The sequence below is a fragment of the Homo sapiens genome, chromosome X (genome assembly GCF_000001405.40).
Source record: "Homo sapiens chromosome X, GRCh38.p14 Primary Assembly".
Classification (NCBI taxonomy): Eukaryota; Metazoa; Chordata; class Mammalia; order Primates; family Hominidae; genus Homo; species Homo sapiens.
This window is the reverse complement of record NC_000023.11, coordinates 129,489,455-129,505,680: the sequence shown is the minus strand read 5'-3', so window position 1 is coordinate 129,505,680 and position 16,226 is coordinate 129,489,455. Positions and strand designations below refer to the sequence as shown.

At 38.6% G+C, this 16,226-nt stretch overlaps 1 protein-coding gene across 7 annotated transcripts in view; it reads left to right on the top strand.

The window, feature by feature from the left end:
• SMARCA1 (SNF2 related chromatin remodeling ATPase 1) overlaps positions 1-16,226 on the top strand; it is a 76,985-nt gene that overhangs the window by 17,810 nt on the left and 42,949 nt on the right. For 4 of the 7 annotated variants that reach the window (NM_001282875.2, NM_001378264.1, NM_001378263.1 and 1 more), the window contains exons 9-14: positions 879-947; positions 5,840-5,949; positions 7,610-7,836; positions 8,810-8,931; positions 13,588-13,740; positions 15,489-15,621. In NM_001282875.2, coding sequence (NP_001269804.1) covers positions 879-947; positions 5,840-5,949; positions 7,610-7,836; positions 8,810-8,931; positions 13,588-13,740; positions 15,489-15,621 — 814 coding nt within the window. Of the gene's footprint in view, positions 1-878; positions 948-5,839; positions 5,950-7,609; positions 7,837-8,809; positions 8,932-12,605; positions 12,642-13,587; positions 13,741-15,488; positions 15,622-16,226 lie in introns of all 7 variants that reach the window. The other 3 variants (NM_001282874.2, NM_001378261.1, NM_003069.5) reach the window with 1 other exon arrangement.

Sequence of the window (16,226 nt, the reverse complement as noted above, 5' to 3'; positions counted from 1 at the left end):
AAAGAGCTCAGAGTATGTGATTTGAAAGACAGCATATTGTGTAAATGTGTTATTTATATATATATATTTTTATCATTAACACAAATTTATGCTAGGACACCAAACTAAATGGAAAGATTTAAGAACTTTGGTGCTTGATTTTTCCCATTATTATTATTATTACTATTTTGAGAGGGAGTCTCACTCTGTCCCCCAGGCTGGAGTACAGTGGCACAATCTCAGCTCTCTGCAACCTCCGCCTCCCGGGTTAAAGTGATTCTCCTTCCTCAGCCTCCCCAGTAGCTGGGATTACAGGTGCCCGTCACCACACCTGGCTAATTTTTTGTATTTTTAGTAGAGACAGGGTTTTGCCATGTTGGTCAGGCTGGTCTCGAACTCCTGACCTCAAGTGGTCTGCCCACCTCAGCCTCCCAAAGTGCTGGGATTACAGGTGTGAGCCACCGTACCTGGCCCCATTATGACTGTTAATTGATAATAAAAAGTAGCAAGTTTGGCCATAAGTTGCTTTGCACACTTTATCTTGCTTTTGTTTGTTTTATTGTTTGGTAAAATTAACATTCTTATTAGCATTATGTCTTTGATTTTATATTCTACTTTTCAAACTAGATATAATATTGCTACAGTATGGGGAAGCCTAATAAATGTCTTTTAAGGAAAAAGTTGATGGAATTCTTACACAGTGGGGCTCAAATTTTGTTAACTGCTCCAGTATTTTACCTATTTTCAGAAGTAAATAATAGTAGCTATCACAGCTGATAATATTTTTGAAAGTACTTTTTAAATGCATTATTTCCGTATTGGTTGTATAAGAATCTACAGAATATCGGGTATATTTAAAAAAACTGTGCACTCATTGGAGAATTTCCACCCCTCTACAGGACTTTGATTCTTGGTTTGACACTAAAAATTGTCTTGGTGATCAAAAACTCGTGGAAAGACTTCATGCAGTAAGTAATAGCAGACAAGAACATTCAGTAATTAAATAGTATACACAAACTGACCCAGAAAACAAAATGCTATGGAATCTGTTTGAACTTGTGTTTGCCTCTTGGCTCAATGTCACTGTTTCTCCCTCCTAACCTTTCTGACAGCCTCTTTGTTTTTTTTTTTTTTTTTTTTTTTTTTTTTTTTATTCCTCTATGTCCTCAGCCTCTCTCTAGAACAGCTTTTTTCCTTTGGCTCTCCCCTGTGAATAATGTGGTCCTCTCCAATAGAGAGGCTGTTCCTGCTCCCACACCCCACAGTTCCTCAGGATGGTATCGGTATTCTCCTAGTTCACCCACTGCCACTTCTAAGCTACTGCTTCTCCACTGTCATGTATAAAGCTCTTCCTTTGAAGCCTAAGCTGTCTTGCAGTTTTATCCTCCACCCATTCTGTTTCCTGTTAATCTGTTCATCATTGGGTGGCTCCTTAACACATTGTATGCCAGGCTGGAGTGCAGTGGCATGATCTTGGCACACTGCAAAGTCCGCCTCCCGAGCTCAAGCAATCCTCCTGCCTCAGCCTCCCGAGTAGCTGGGATTACAGGCGTGTGCCACCACGCCCGGCTAATTTTTGTATTTTTAGTAGAGATGGGGTTTCACCATGTTGGCCAGGCTGATCTCGAACTCCTGACCTCAGGTAATCTGCCCGCCTGGGCCTCCCAAAGTGCTGGGATTACAGGCGTGAGCCACTGCATCCGACCTTTCTTTTCTTTTCTTTTTTTTTTTTTTTTTGAGAGAGAGTCTCGCTCTATAGCCCAGGCTGCTGGAGTTCAGTGGCATGATCTTGGCTCACTGCAACTTCTGCCTCCCGGGTTCAAGCGATTCTCTTGCCTCAGCCTCCCAAGTAGCTGGGACTAAAGGCACGTGCCACCACGCCCGGCTAATTTTTGTATTTTTAGTAGAGACGGGTTTTCACCATGTTGGCCAGGCTGGTCTCGAACTCCTGACCTCATGATCCACCCATCTTGGCCTCCCAAAGTGCTGAGATTACAGGCGAGAACCACTGTGCCTGGCCCCAACTTTCTATTCTTTGATCGCAATTTCTCATCTCTTTCTAGTGCTTTCGTTCATGTTAATCCTTCTGTACTTGTCCTGTTACCTCACAGAGACCTCTAATCCCCAGACCTCTGCATTTTCTCCCCATCTATCAGCTTATTTCTGTTGTGACTTTTTTCTGTATCCAGCAATGAACTCATTTTCTATCACTTGAACCATCTTTGGCTAGTACTCCTAAACTCCCTTGCTCCCTTCTCCGTCTGCCATACCTGCCTAAAAACCGTAACCTGGAATAATGTAATGTAACTGTCTCTCTGTCTTCTGGGCTTCAATTTTGCTTCTGCTGCTTACTAGCAGAGTGGACATCTCTGTATTGGGGCAGCCCAACACTGGTAAAGAAGATTTCACAACTGTCCAGGTTGGAACCACTGTGATTCCATGTTCTCTAACATAAGCTGAGATGTCATGATACTGGTGATCCTTCAGCATGGCCTTCTACAGTCTTCTTTCCTGTTTCCTATAACAACTATTTCAGACCTTCCCCAGTCTCCCCAAGATTTCTATCCCAGGTATCTCCTGCCCTCCTTCTCCCTCATCAGGTAACATCATTCCTTTCTCAAAAAGAAAAAAGAAGACATTAGGTAGGAAGTCCTTCAAGGATGTCCACCTTCTAAGGAGGTCTGCATCTGTGTTACCTTCTGTTTGAGTGGAAGAGGTGTCTTTTCTCTGGTCAGTGGCTAATTCTTCCATGTGAATCCTTGATCTCATCTCTTCCTATTCTTTATGGACTTTCCCCCATGATTTATCTTTTTAGTTGACTATATTTTCTACCTCTTTTTAATTGACTATATTTTCTATCTTTTTAACTGACTGTATTTTCTACCTCTCCATCCATATTGGGTCTTTTCCCTAAGTGTAAACATGCTCAGGTGTCTCCCTTATTAATTCCAAATCCAAACACGTACCCATCCACCCTCACACATATGCAAAACAGTGCTCCCTCAACACTGTGTCCCTCTGGCTGTGATTCCGTTTTCTTCCCTTGATAGCTAAGCTCCTTGAAAGAGTAGTTTATCCTCTCCATATCTACTCCCTAGTCTCCTGTTTACTCTTGAATCCATTGGCCACTGGCTTCTATCCATTCCATACAACTGAAATTTGTCTCACAGTGTCTTCAATGACTTTCCAGTTGCTGAATTCAGGGTACGCTTTTTGGTCAGTATCTTGGCTATTGCTTTGAAGCTGCTAACTATCTCCTCCTGCTGGAAACTTTGCTGCTTGGTTTCTAGGATACTGTTCTCTTTTGGATTTTCTTTTACCCTTTGTCCACCCCTATCAGTCCCTTTCGTGGGCTTTTCTTTCTTTGACTGTCTCTTATAAAGTTTAACATTTTATAAGGCTTTGTCTTTGACTTTCGTACATGCTCTCCCTGGGGATCCACTCCCATGGTTTTACCTACCACCTATATACTGACGCCTCCTAAATTGACCTCTCTGTATCCTTCTCCTAAGCACTATACTTTCATATCCCATTGCCTTCGGAGTCTTTTTGCTTAAGTATCTCACAGGCAGTTTAAACTCTTAAGGATATCTTTTAGAAAACTTTGAGGCTCACACCAGAAGCCAGAAGTCTTCTTTTACTCTTCCCCTGTCCTTACCTCCCATAGATCTCTAATAATAATAGCTACAGTTTATTGTCTGCTATATACTTAAGTTCTACACATGTACCACCACAAATTTCCACAGCAGACTTGGAAATAGGTATCATTATCCCCATTTAAAAATGTTTGGCCGGGCAGGGTGGCTCACACCTGTAATCCCAGCACTTTGGGAGGCCGAGGCGGGTGGATCATGAGGTCAAGAGATTGAGACCATCCTGGCCAACATGGTGAAACCACATCTCTACTAAAAATACAAAAAATTAGCTGGGCGTGGTGGCTCGCGCCTATAGTCCCAGCTACTCGGGAGGCTGAGGTAGGAGAATGGCTTGAACCTGGGAGACGGAGGTTGCAGTGAGCCGAGATCTCACCACTGCATTTCAGCCTGGTGACAGAGTGAGACTCTGTCCCCTTCCACCCCACCTCCCCCCCCAAAAAAAGTTTGGCGGGCCGGGCGCAGTGGCTCACGCCTGTAATCCTAGCACTTTGGGAGGTCGAGGCGGGCAGATTGCCTGAGCTCAGGAGTTCGAGACCAGCCTGGGCAACATGGTGAAACCTCATCTCTACTAAAATAGGAAAAATTAGCCGAGCGTGGTGGCGTGCGCCTGTAGTCCCAGCTACTTGGGAGGCTAAGGCAGGAGAATTGCTTGAACCTGGGAGGCGGAGGTTGCAGTGAGCTGAGATTGCCCCACTGCATTCCAGCCTGGGTGACAGAGCGAGACTCTGTCTCAAAAAAAAAAAAAAGTTTGGTATATACACATATCATATATTTGTTTTTGGATGAACCGATGAGGAAATAGGCTTGGAAAAATTAGAGAACTTTCCTAGGCTCACAACAGCTAGTCAGGACTGAGCTGATTTTAGAATTAGCCTGATCTGGGTTTGAATTCCACATCTACCACTTGCTAGCAAAGTTCCTTTGATGGCCTTACTAAAATAGAAATGATAACATTTCTTTCAGATTTATCGTAAGGATTAAATAATACATGTAAAGTTCATAGTATAGTATCTGGCACATTGTAGGTAGGTACTCTATAGATTGTAGCACTATTGTCTTGTGATATAACCTGTCTTCCAGGTATACACTGACTATTTTATCTTTTTTTCTCTATTCATCTATATTTTCCTTCATATTGAATATTTTCTCCTCATTTATATATTTAACTACAGTCATGCACTGGCATAACAGCGTTATGGTCAACGATGGACCGCATAGATGATGGTGGTCCCATCAGATTATAATGGAGCATATATAGAGACCTGATATATGGCACTTGATACTGGCATTGCAGATCAAGTAGGGGAAATGATTGATAGTGAGTAATAGTGCTGGGACACGTGGTTTTCTATATGAAAAAACAAATAAATACATATACCATGTAGGTTTGTGTAAGAACACTCTATGATCTTAGCACAATGATGAGATCACTTAACAACACATTTCTTAGAACATATCCCCATCATTAAGTGGCACATGATGGTACTTTGAAATGACCTGCATTTTTATTTCATTTTTGAAGACTCCCTGATCGATATTCTGACTTCAGATTTCCTCTCAGGTTTAAAAATCTTGTTGTGGGCTGGGCACAGTGGCTCACGCCTGTAATCCCAGCACTTTGGGAGGCCAAGGTGGGTGGATCACGGGGTCAGGAGTTCGAGACCAGCCTGGCCAACATGGTGAAACCCTGTCTCTACTAAAGATACAAAAATGAGCCAGGCGTGGTGGTGCATGCCTGTAATTCCAGCTACTCAGGAGGCTGAGGCAGGAGAATTGCTTGAAGCCAGGAGGCGGAGGTTGCAGTGAGCCGAGATTGTGCCATTGCACTCCAGCCTGGGTGACAGGGTGAGACTCTGTCTCCAAAAACAAACAAACAAACAAAAAAATCTTGTGTTACAGCAGCTTCTTTTTTTTTTTTTTTTAAGGGTTCTTTGGTGCTTATTCAGCAACCAATAGTCTTGTTGTCTTAATTTTTCATGTATTTTGTGCCATGAAGTCATGAATGCCTACTTTAGGTCCCCTATTCTGATTTTCTAATGGACTCTTACTTGGTGGTTCTTTACCAAGAAAGTTCGCAACTGGTATTGGTAGTATTTGTCAGACTATGCAGTGGGAAGTAAATTTCACATTAATGTTGTTAATGAAATACATTATTAATCATATTAAATGTTTCATAAACTTTTATAAAAATGATCACCTTTTAGGTTTTAAAACCATTTTTGTTACGCCGTATAAAAACTGATGTAGAGAAGAGTCTGCCACCTAAAAAGGAAATAAAGATTTACTTGGGGCTGAGTAAGATGCAACGAGAATGGTGAGCTATTTCATTTCCTTTAAAACTTATTTGTGTGTAAGAATTTACTAAAAATTAGCTTTGTAGTTGTTCAGTTATGCCATTAGTTCAAAAATTACATTTTATATTTAAATGGCAAGTTAAGTAGTTCAGATATTTTCAGAGAAAATTTGTAAGTATTTTATTTAACCCTTTGAAAAGAGTATAGGTTTTGGAGTCTATAGATCTGTGTTTGAATTCCATGCATTACCACTTAACAGCTAGTTATCTTGGGCAAGTTACATAGCCTAAATTTCCATTCTGTAAAATGGGGATAATAATATTTAATTTATGAGGATGGTGTTAGGATTAAAGGGGGTAATGTCAGTGGCATGCTTGTTAGTTAAAAAGCATTCTTTAAAAGCATTCTTTGGCCAGGTGCAGTGGCTTACATCTGTAATCCCAGCACTTTGGGAGGCCAAGGCAGGAGGATTGTTTGAGCCTAGGAGTTCAAGACTAGCCTGGGCAACAAAGTGAGACCCCATCTCTACAAAAAATAAAAAATAAAATTAGCTGGGCATTGTGGCACACACCTGTGTTTCCAGCTACATGAGAGGCTGAGGCAGGAGGATTACTGGAGCCCAGGAAGTCAAGGCTGCAGTGAGCCATGTTTGTGCCACTGCACTCCAGGGTAGGCAACAGAGTGAGACCGTGTCTCAAAAAAAAAAGCATTCTTGCTTTTTCCTTCAGTGAAAATAATTATAACCATATTACTAGTGTTGATGAAAATGTTGGTGATTGTGGATATTACAAAAATAGAATCTGGAATGGTTAGATAAATGCACTTAAAGCAGGAAATTGACAAGGGAAGTCACAAGGAATCATAAGTGGGAAGTGTTAATAATGTAATAGTGCTGCTAATAGGAGCAAAATGTTACGTATATAAATACAATTAGATCATGTATAAAATATATGATTTCTTTACTACATAAGCCAGTATAGGGTAGAGATTAAGAGTATATTCTTTGGACTCAGACTAAGATCACAGCTTGGTTTTGTCCCTTCTGTGACCCTGAGTAAGTTGTTTAACTTCTCTTAGCTGCCTTAATTTCCATCTGTAAAATGGGGATGATACTAGTAAATACTCAGAATTGTTATGAAGATTTAGTGGCATAATTCGTATAAAGCCCTTGACATGATACTTGGCACTTGCACTCAGCAAAAGTTGATAATTATTATAATTACATATTATCATTGATCGGGTGTATATATATATGTAAGTCTCTGTGGGGGTGGAATTGTAGAAAAGAGAATGAAAAATATTTATAGGATCAGAAAAAAATGACCTGTGAAGACAGGTATAAGAAATTGAAATTGTTTTTAGTTCAAACAAGTAAATGTTGGATGTCAAATTCAGGCAAATGTTGTAGTTACTGATAATTAGCAGATAGAATTCTCTAAATAATTGTCAACTGATGGCAGTTTCTTGTCATGGATAAAGCAGGAGGAAACAGGTTTATAAGCAACACACAAGTTCACATGTTCAAATATTCATTACTTTGTAGGTTTTGCCCATTAGATTTAATCTCAAATCAAATCTTGTTTATCTTTAAACAGGAATCTAATCTGATGGCCAAAGGAACATTTGTTTATGACATTAACTTTCTAGTAATTGATGATTAATTATAGTTTAAATTTTTAGGTATACAAAAATCCTGATGAAAGATATTGATGTTTTAAACTCTTCTGGCAAGATGGACAAGATGCGACTCTTAAACATTCTGATGCAGCTTCGAAAGTGTTGTAATCATCCATATCTGTTTGATGGTGCTGAACCTGGTCCACCTTATACCACTGATGAGCATATTGTCAGCAACAGTGGTAAAATGGTAGTTCTGGATAAACTATTGGCCAAACTCAAAGAACAGGGTGAGTAATAAATTTTTAAATTAGCATGGAATAAATTTATATTAATGACTTGTATATAAATAAAATTTTCCATATTCATTCATTCACTTATTCAGCAGACATTGTTGAGTACTTACCATTTGCCAGGAATTGTCCTACAGGCTGGGTGTACAAAGATGAATAAGACAACAATCTTTGCCTTGGATAAGCTCACAGTGTAGTGAGGAGGAATAGTTGCAATTCATTGTGATAAGTGCTATGATATGTTGAGAAACTGGGAGTTGGGAAAGTCTTCACAGAGATGACCTTTGAGGTGAGCACTGGACAATGTGTAGGAGTGAACCATGGGGAAAAGGAGGGGAAGGGTTTTCCAGGGTAATGAAACAGAGGCGTGAAACAAGGGAACACAGAGAGCATATGGTACTTGGGGTAGAGTGGCAGTTGATGAATCTGGAAAGATGGATGGAGCCAAATTATGAACGGTATTTTAAACCATGCCTTAAGGAGTTAGGACTTTTATTTTGAAGGCAGAGGGAGTGTCAGAGAAGACTTGGCTGTGAAGAGTGACAATCGGAGTATGTCACTCTTACATGTTAGGAAGAGAACCTTGAAAGCAGTATGGGGGTCTATTGAGGATGAGAGACTAGGAACAGGAGACTAGTTGGGAGACTATTGCTGTAGTCCAGTGAGAGAGCCTGTGGACCCATCATTCATCCTTAAGAAAAAGTAAAGGCAATCTTTTAAGTCGTTGCAATATGTGTGGAGGATTTTGAAGACCTTAAAAAATGCCAAACTCAACAAATGCATAATTCTATATATAGCATCTCTTGAAGGTGTGTGGGGGTGTGTGTGTGTGTGTGTGTGTGCACGTGTGTGTGTGCGTTAGTGGAGTGTTCATGTGCTCTACATTTATGTTGCATATGTTTATTTTGTAGCTTTTAAGTTAGTTTCACACAAGTTGTACAACTCACTTTTTCTTGGTGAAATGTTTTAGGTTCAAGGGTTCTCATTTTCAGCCAGATGACTCGCTTGCTGGATATTTTGGAAGATTATTGCATGTGGCGTGGTTATGAGTATTGTCGACTGGATGGACAAACCCCGCATGAAGAAAGAGAGGTGAGGAAGAGAAAATAAAATAAGATTTCAGAAATCAGAGTTCAATTAAGCAATGTATATCAACATTAGGTAGTTTTGAACTTTTGCCTTTTCTTTAGGTGGGTGCATTGAATTTCTCATTAGCATCTCTTTCTCTCTTCAATCTTCAGTGTGGCTTCCATTCCATTGATTCTTTACAAATCATCTTTTTCAAGGTCTTCAAAGACATCACCACTTATCTAAAGGGCACTACACCATCCCATCCTTATTTTCTCTAATCATGCCTATCTCTGACCTTTTAAATTACTAACAGTTTCTCACCTTACTCTCTAACCTCCAATTTCATGTCATTTTCTTTTCCTAATTTGCCAGCTATAGCAGACCTTTGCCATTTGTGGAGTTTAATGGTTGAGATTTTGCCAGTTTATAAGCAACCCTAAAGACTCATGAAGCATAGTAATCCATAAAGGGAATGATCTTGGTTCTTATAGAGCTCTTGTAAAAACTAAATGTGACAAAATAGGTATAGGTATTTATCATGAATTTAAACATTGGGACACTAAAAGGTTGGCCTGCAGGAATGAGTCACTTAGTGAGTAAGCTTATCTAGTATGCAGTATTTTTCTCAAACATGGAAATTCTTACAGATCTTTAGATTATTCCTCACAAATGTCATGGGTCTAATGCGTTTAATACCCTTTAAAGCACTTTTGCTTGGAAGGCTTTGCTAATTTATCTTCTGTTTTCTGTGATCCTTCAGAGCTCTGTCTTTGGCTTCTGTTTTAAGTCTGTACAGCAAGTCCTCACTTAATGTCGTTGCAAAAAAAAAAATTAGCTGGGTGTGGTGGCGCGCGTCTATAATCCCAGCTACTCAGGAGGCTGAGGCAGCAGAATTGCTTGAACCTGGGAGGCGGAGGTTGCATTGAGCCAAGATCATGGCATTGCACCGCTCCAGCCTGGGTGACATAATGAGACTCTGTCTAAAAAAAAAAAAAAGATAGGTTCTTATAGAAACTGCGACGTCAATCAAAACAATGTATGATGAAATCAATTCTATCTTAGGCTAATTGATATAAACAAGATTTAAGTTCTGGCCAGGTGTGTTGGCTCATGCCTGTAATACCAACGTTTGGGATTGGGAGGCTGAGGCAGGAGGATTGCTTGAGGCTAGTCAGTAAAGACTAGCCTGAGCAACATAGCGAGACCCGGTCTCTACAAAAATAAAATAAAATAAAATTTAAAAAAGCATTAGTCAGGCATGGTGGCATGCACCTGTAGTCCTTGCTCCTCTGGAGGCCGAGGCAGGAGGATGGCTTGAGCCCAGGAGTTTGAGGCTGCAGTGAGATGTGATTGTGCCACTGCACTTCAAACTGTGTGACAGGACAAGACCCCAGTTCCTGTGGCATATTTCTGGTCACAAAGACATCACCAAGCTTCTAAATAAAGACCAAAACACTTATAATATTAAACATGGAAATAAATGTGAGCCATACATACGTTTAAGAAAGATTAATAAAAACAAGTAAGATAATTATTTACCTGCTTATTCCAGTTCAGGATTACAGTGGTTGGAGCCTCTTCTGGCAGCTCAGGACCCCAGGCAGGAACTAGCCCTGGACAGAATGCCATTCCATCACAGGGCATGCTCGCACACACACCACTCACACTGGGACCATGTAGACATGCCAATTTGCTTTTTGTGCACAGCTTTGGGCTGTGGGAGGGCACAGAGAAAACTCATACAGACATGGGGAGCACATGCAAAACCCATATGGACAGTGGCCCTGGCCAGGAATTGATTGTTTTTTTGTCATCAGTTTTATAATGAAATGATGTTACTTGAGGACCTGCTGTACTCATGCTTTGGGTAAAGATCATGGTTTTATGGTATAGTGGAAAATGCACTGAACTTGGTTTCAGAAGACCTGAATTTTAGCACCAACTTCACCACTTTGCAGCGTGTGCAAGCCATTTAATTCTCTGAGCCTCAGTAGCTGTAATTCTAAGGATAGTAACAACTAGGCTTCTTTCTCTGACAATGTTGTGAGGATATAATAGGTATGAGCACAGTTTTAAACGGCATATTGCAGTACGTACTGCAGGTCATGAAATTGCACCCAGGCCTTTCTCCCTTACACCTTTAGGGCCCCATCTCAGGCTACAAGGACTCTCTCTTAGCCCGCATCCCTCTCCTTCTGTAGCTGCAATGGGCACTCCGTTCCTTGTGTGCCTCCTTATTGAAGCCTGTTTCTAGCATAGCATAGTGTTCACAGCAAGCACACAGACCCTTTTCATATTAAAGGTCTTACTGCTACCTCTATGGGGAAACAGTTGCAATAACATTTATACGTATGAGGATATTTCAAGGCTTACACTATTCCGTGTGCTATAGTTTTTTCACTCTCTCTGAGATGGCAACTTGAAGCGTTACTGAGCTTTTGCTGACTTATTCCTGAGGATTGGTTTCCCTGAATCCATACTAAATAAGGCCCTATGGTACCATTCAGGATGATCCTTCTTCCTAGGACAAAGAGAATATCATGGCAGAGCAGTACGTGCTTTCTGACCTCAAATAGCCAATTTGCATTTCTGACTGAGCTGTCTACTGTTTACCTATTTATGTCCAAATTGTTCTGGTTTTTAAAAATTCCAAACAATGTTATCCCCTCAGAGACTCTGAATTTCATGTATTGACTTTAAATATAGCAAAGTCAGAGCTGTTCCTTTCTTCTTGGAAATGCCCTGCTTTCCCTTTATGTTGTCCACACCATCATTTCATCTATTTTCCCAATAAGAAGAAGACCACGTTTGATTCCTTACTTTGATTGTGTGCCAGCTGTGAATAAGTAATTCTTTCTCAACAGCTCTCAGATTTTCCCTTTCTCCATTACTACAGCTAAATTCAGCTAACAAAGCCACTGGTCATCGTCTGACTCAGTTCCTGTAACCTCTGCTTAATTGGCCTCCTCACTTTTATAGGGAAAGGAACTAACATTTGTCAAGCAACTACTATAAGCTAGGCAACTTAAAGTTCCAATTGAATTCTCCCAGCAGCGCGGTAAAGTATTGGTATAATTTTCTCCATTTGAAACTGTGTCTCAGAGAGATTAAATACTTGCCCAGAATCACAGATGTAATCAGTGGTGAAGTTGTGATTCATGCCCAAGTTTTTGCTATTTCCTCTACGCCAAGGTGCCTCTCACTACACCACGCTGCTTTCTATACTGCCCCCTTTACCTGCTCTGCTGACTGTGACGGTGGTAGTTACCTTCTCTGCCTGAAACTTTGACCATGCCATCCATTTATTTTAAAAAAGATTGCCCATACTTTGTGATTATGCAAGTAATATATGACTGCTGAAGGAAGTTTTGAAATTAAATACAAGTATTTCTGGCCTATCTTTTTAGGTATATGTAATATGTATAAGTAATTGGTATCAGACTTCATATACTATATGTAAAGTACAGTATCCTGATACTATTTACTTAATATTATATTGTACTTTTTAATGTCCATAAAAAATAATTGTAAAAGTAATTTTAGGATAATATTTCACCCTATGGATGTACTATAAGTAATTCATCCCCCTATTCTTGATCGTTTAGGTTGTTTCAAAATTTTCACTATTATAAATAATGCTATAGTGAAAGTCCTTATACATAAATCTTTGTGCACATCTCTGATTATTTCCTTAGGATAAATTCCTAGAAGTGGAATTTCTGGGTCAAAGGGTATGAACATTTTTAAGGCTCTTGATGCATATTGCCAAATTGCTTTCCAGAAAGGTTGTACCAATTTATACTCCCAGCAGCAATGTATGAGAGTGCCCGTCTCACCGCCCCCTCATCAACATTGAGTATTATCATTTTTTTTAAATCTTCAAAAATGTTATTATGTTGTTTTAGTTTGCATTTATTTGATTACTAGCGAGAATGAACATTATTATTGTGTTTTCTAACCATTTGTATTTGTTCTGTGAGTTGTCTGTTCTTTTTTTCTGCTCATTTTTCTACTGGACTTTGTTTTTCTAATTAATTTGTATGAGATCTTTATATAGTAAGAATATTCATATTAATTTTAACATTCTTTACTAAATATCCCTGGATTGTCATCCTGATTTTCTTCATTACTTACCTGCTTGTTCCTTGTTACCATACTGATAGAAATCTTCTTACTTTCCCCTTTATCCGTTGCCCTCATTCCCATTTGTAAACCATTTTCTCTGTTGGTTGATCTTCTAAACTAATCATTCATAAGCTAATGGAAATGAAGTTGAGATTTCTGATATTTTACCTCCTAGATATATTTCAGCTCTCACTCAAAACGTTTTCATTATTATTGTTTTTAAATAATGTAAATGAATTATTACTTGCTTAGTTAAATTTGTGTATGTAATTGTTCTAAATTTGTATCTATCGATGTAAGCTTTTAAAGATTAGGAACTTCATTTATATAATATACTTTCTACAGAAATTCACACAGTACAGTATATGTATAGATGCTTACATATTTTTGAAGATGGAAGAATATTATAAAGTATATTTATAAGGAATATTATAAAGTGTGTGAAGATTTTCTATATGTATTTTAAATGTTTTTATTTGTTTCTTAAGGACCCTGATGGTCTAATTTTATTTTTCTCTTTTTCTTCTATCCCTTTATCAATAAAAAATAAAGGAAGCAATAGAGGCTTTTAATGCTCCTAATAGTAGCAAATTCATCTTTATGCTAAGTACCAGGGCTGGAGGTCTCGGAATTAACCTGGCAAGTGCTGATGTGGTTATACTATATGATTCAGACTGGAACCCACAGGTTGATCTACAAGCTATGGTTAGTAATCTTTAATGGTGTCAGAAATTTATCATAGCTCTGAATACTATTGCTATTTACACACATAAAGGTCATTTATGATAAAAAGGTAACAATTTTTGAGAGATTTTATAGAAGTTACAGTAGATTATCCTGGAAAACACAGTTGCTATGCTAATTGCAAAAACAAAAGAAATGAAAGCGAACAACAAACACACCCCAGATCCAACTTATAGCATTTATGTGTTGATTTTGGTTTTTTTCATGAAATAGAAATGTCAGTTTTTTCCCATTCCTACAGATTGAAGAGGACACATAAATTTGTTTTAATGAAAAGGATTAAAAAACAATCTCTTGTTATTATTCTGTTCAACAACTAAATATATTAAAATCCTTAGTACTGAAATTAAGAGAGGTAGGATTTTAACTTTCATAAAAAACAATTTGGGAGAGAAGGCAAAAAGGTAAGAAAGGAATATATTCCAGAAAAACACTTGCTACTTAATAATGATACCATGCAAAAGCTATTCTACACTTAAAAACATTTTTTTTTAGGGAGCAAAGTTTCTCTGACCTTTCATCATGACACTACAGGTAACCCCTTTGATATTTTGGTGTCATTTATTGAACTAGAGCTACAACTTCTCTCAATGTGACTCACATTTTCAGATAAAGAAATATAATTTAGAAGTAAAAAGATGCAAAATAACTTCTTAGGTTTTGAATATATAGCTATGGATAAGTGTCTTTTTGGGAGCAATGAAAAGTCATATGCCAATGAGGTATAACTTAGAAGGCTTTCCTTTTATAATAGAGAATTGAAAGGGATTGACCACTGGGACATTCCAAAATCAATATGCTTTGGCGTAATTATTATTGCATTACGATGGTATTGAACTACCTGTTTGATATGACTAACTAGGAGTAAGCCCCAGTAAGTTACAGTGTTACTGAACTGGAAAATCTAATAGTGATAGCACTTCATTTCCGTAGAAGTCTTAGTGTGCATCCCATCTTTCAGGATTTGCTGGTTCAGGTTTAATGTAAATATGTGCAGGGGATTGCATTCTGTTTGAAAAATGTGCTGTGTTGAAACTTTGTTACTAGGCTCTAGTGTTTTTATATTTAGTACAAGGCCTGTTTTGAACTTACATTTTTTTTTTCTCTACCACCCTCCTCCCTTTACCTATTTGCTCTAGCAGCTTCTGTGTTTTAAAAATACTCTCCCTAGATGGTTTTATACCACTAGAAGTTCGCCACCTGTCACCTGTACCAACTATAAACCATAGGACCAGTCCTAGGCTACTGAATAGTAAGGATAGTAATATCCCATTAATTTTTATAACTCTTTACTGCATATCCCTCAGTAAGCAGAAAGAAGTGCCTGATGATGAAATAAAGCAGACTTTTGCCACCATAGCAACCCTAACTACTTAATAAAATTCCTTGCTAGTTTCGAAGATGTTTATATTTAGTGGCTTAAAGTTACTTAGTAACTCAATCCAGAAACTTTCAGCTCCCTCTTTTATTCATCTTACAGGTGCTTTGCCCTTTGTCCTGGAAGTTTCCCATTAATGGTACAATATAATATTTGCAGATTTCTTTGTTCCCAGTGGTCTTTAGATATTCTCAATATTCATCATGCTCTTTTCCAAAGTGTCAGATCTAGAGAAAAATAACTAATTTTATTTTTAGAATTTTATAGCATATGATGGCTCTAAATTTTATCCAGAATATCCAATATCTTACATTAGAACTCTTTCTACTAGGATCGAGCACATCGTATTGGTCAGAAGAAACCAGTACGTGTATTCCGTCTCATCACTGACAACACTGTTGAAGAGAGGATTGTAGAAAGAGCTGAGATAAAACTGAGACTCGATTCAATTGTTATACAACAAGGTATTTATACATAGAAACTTAATTAGGTGTTTTTTGTAAAACACATGTAGTTTTCTTCAAAGGAGATTACTTTTAATAAAAGTTGACCAAAATTTGAAAACTTAGAGGAAAAATTGAAACATCACTGTGTATCCCATGAGTCTGTACAATTGTTATGTATCACCTAAAAATAAAAGGAAAAAATTTAAAAATGCTAATTGAGGCTGGGTGAGGTAGGTCATGCCTGTAATCCCAGCACTTTGGGAGGCCGAGGCGGGTGGATCACCTGAGATCAGGAGTTTGAGACCAGCCTGGCCAACATGGTGAATCCCTGTCTCTACTAAAAATACAAAAAATTAGCCGGGTGTGGTGGCGTGCACCAGTAGTCCCAGCTACTCAGGAGGCTGAGGCAGGAGAATTGCTTGAACCTGGGAGGTGGAGGTTGCAGTGAGCCGAGATCGCGCCACTGCACTCCGCCTTGGGCGACAGAGCAAGACACTGTCTCAAAAACAAACAAACAAACAAACAAACGAACAAAAAATGCTAATTGAAATCTTCTGAATTGAAACCCTGGCATTTGATATATGGAGTAGTTGAACATCACTAGCTTATTCTTGAATGTCAGT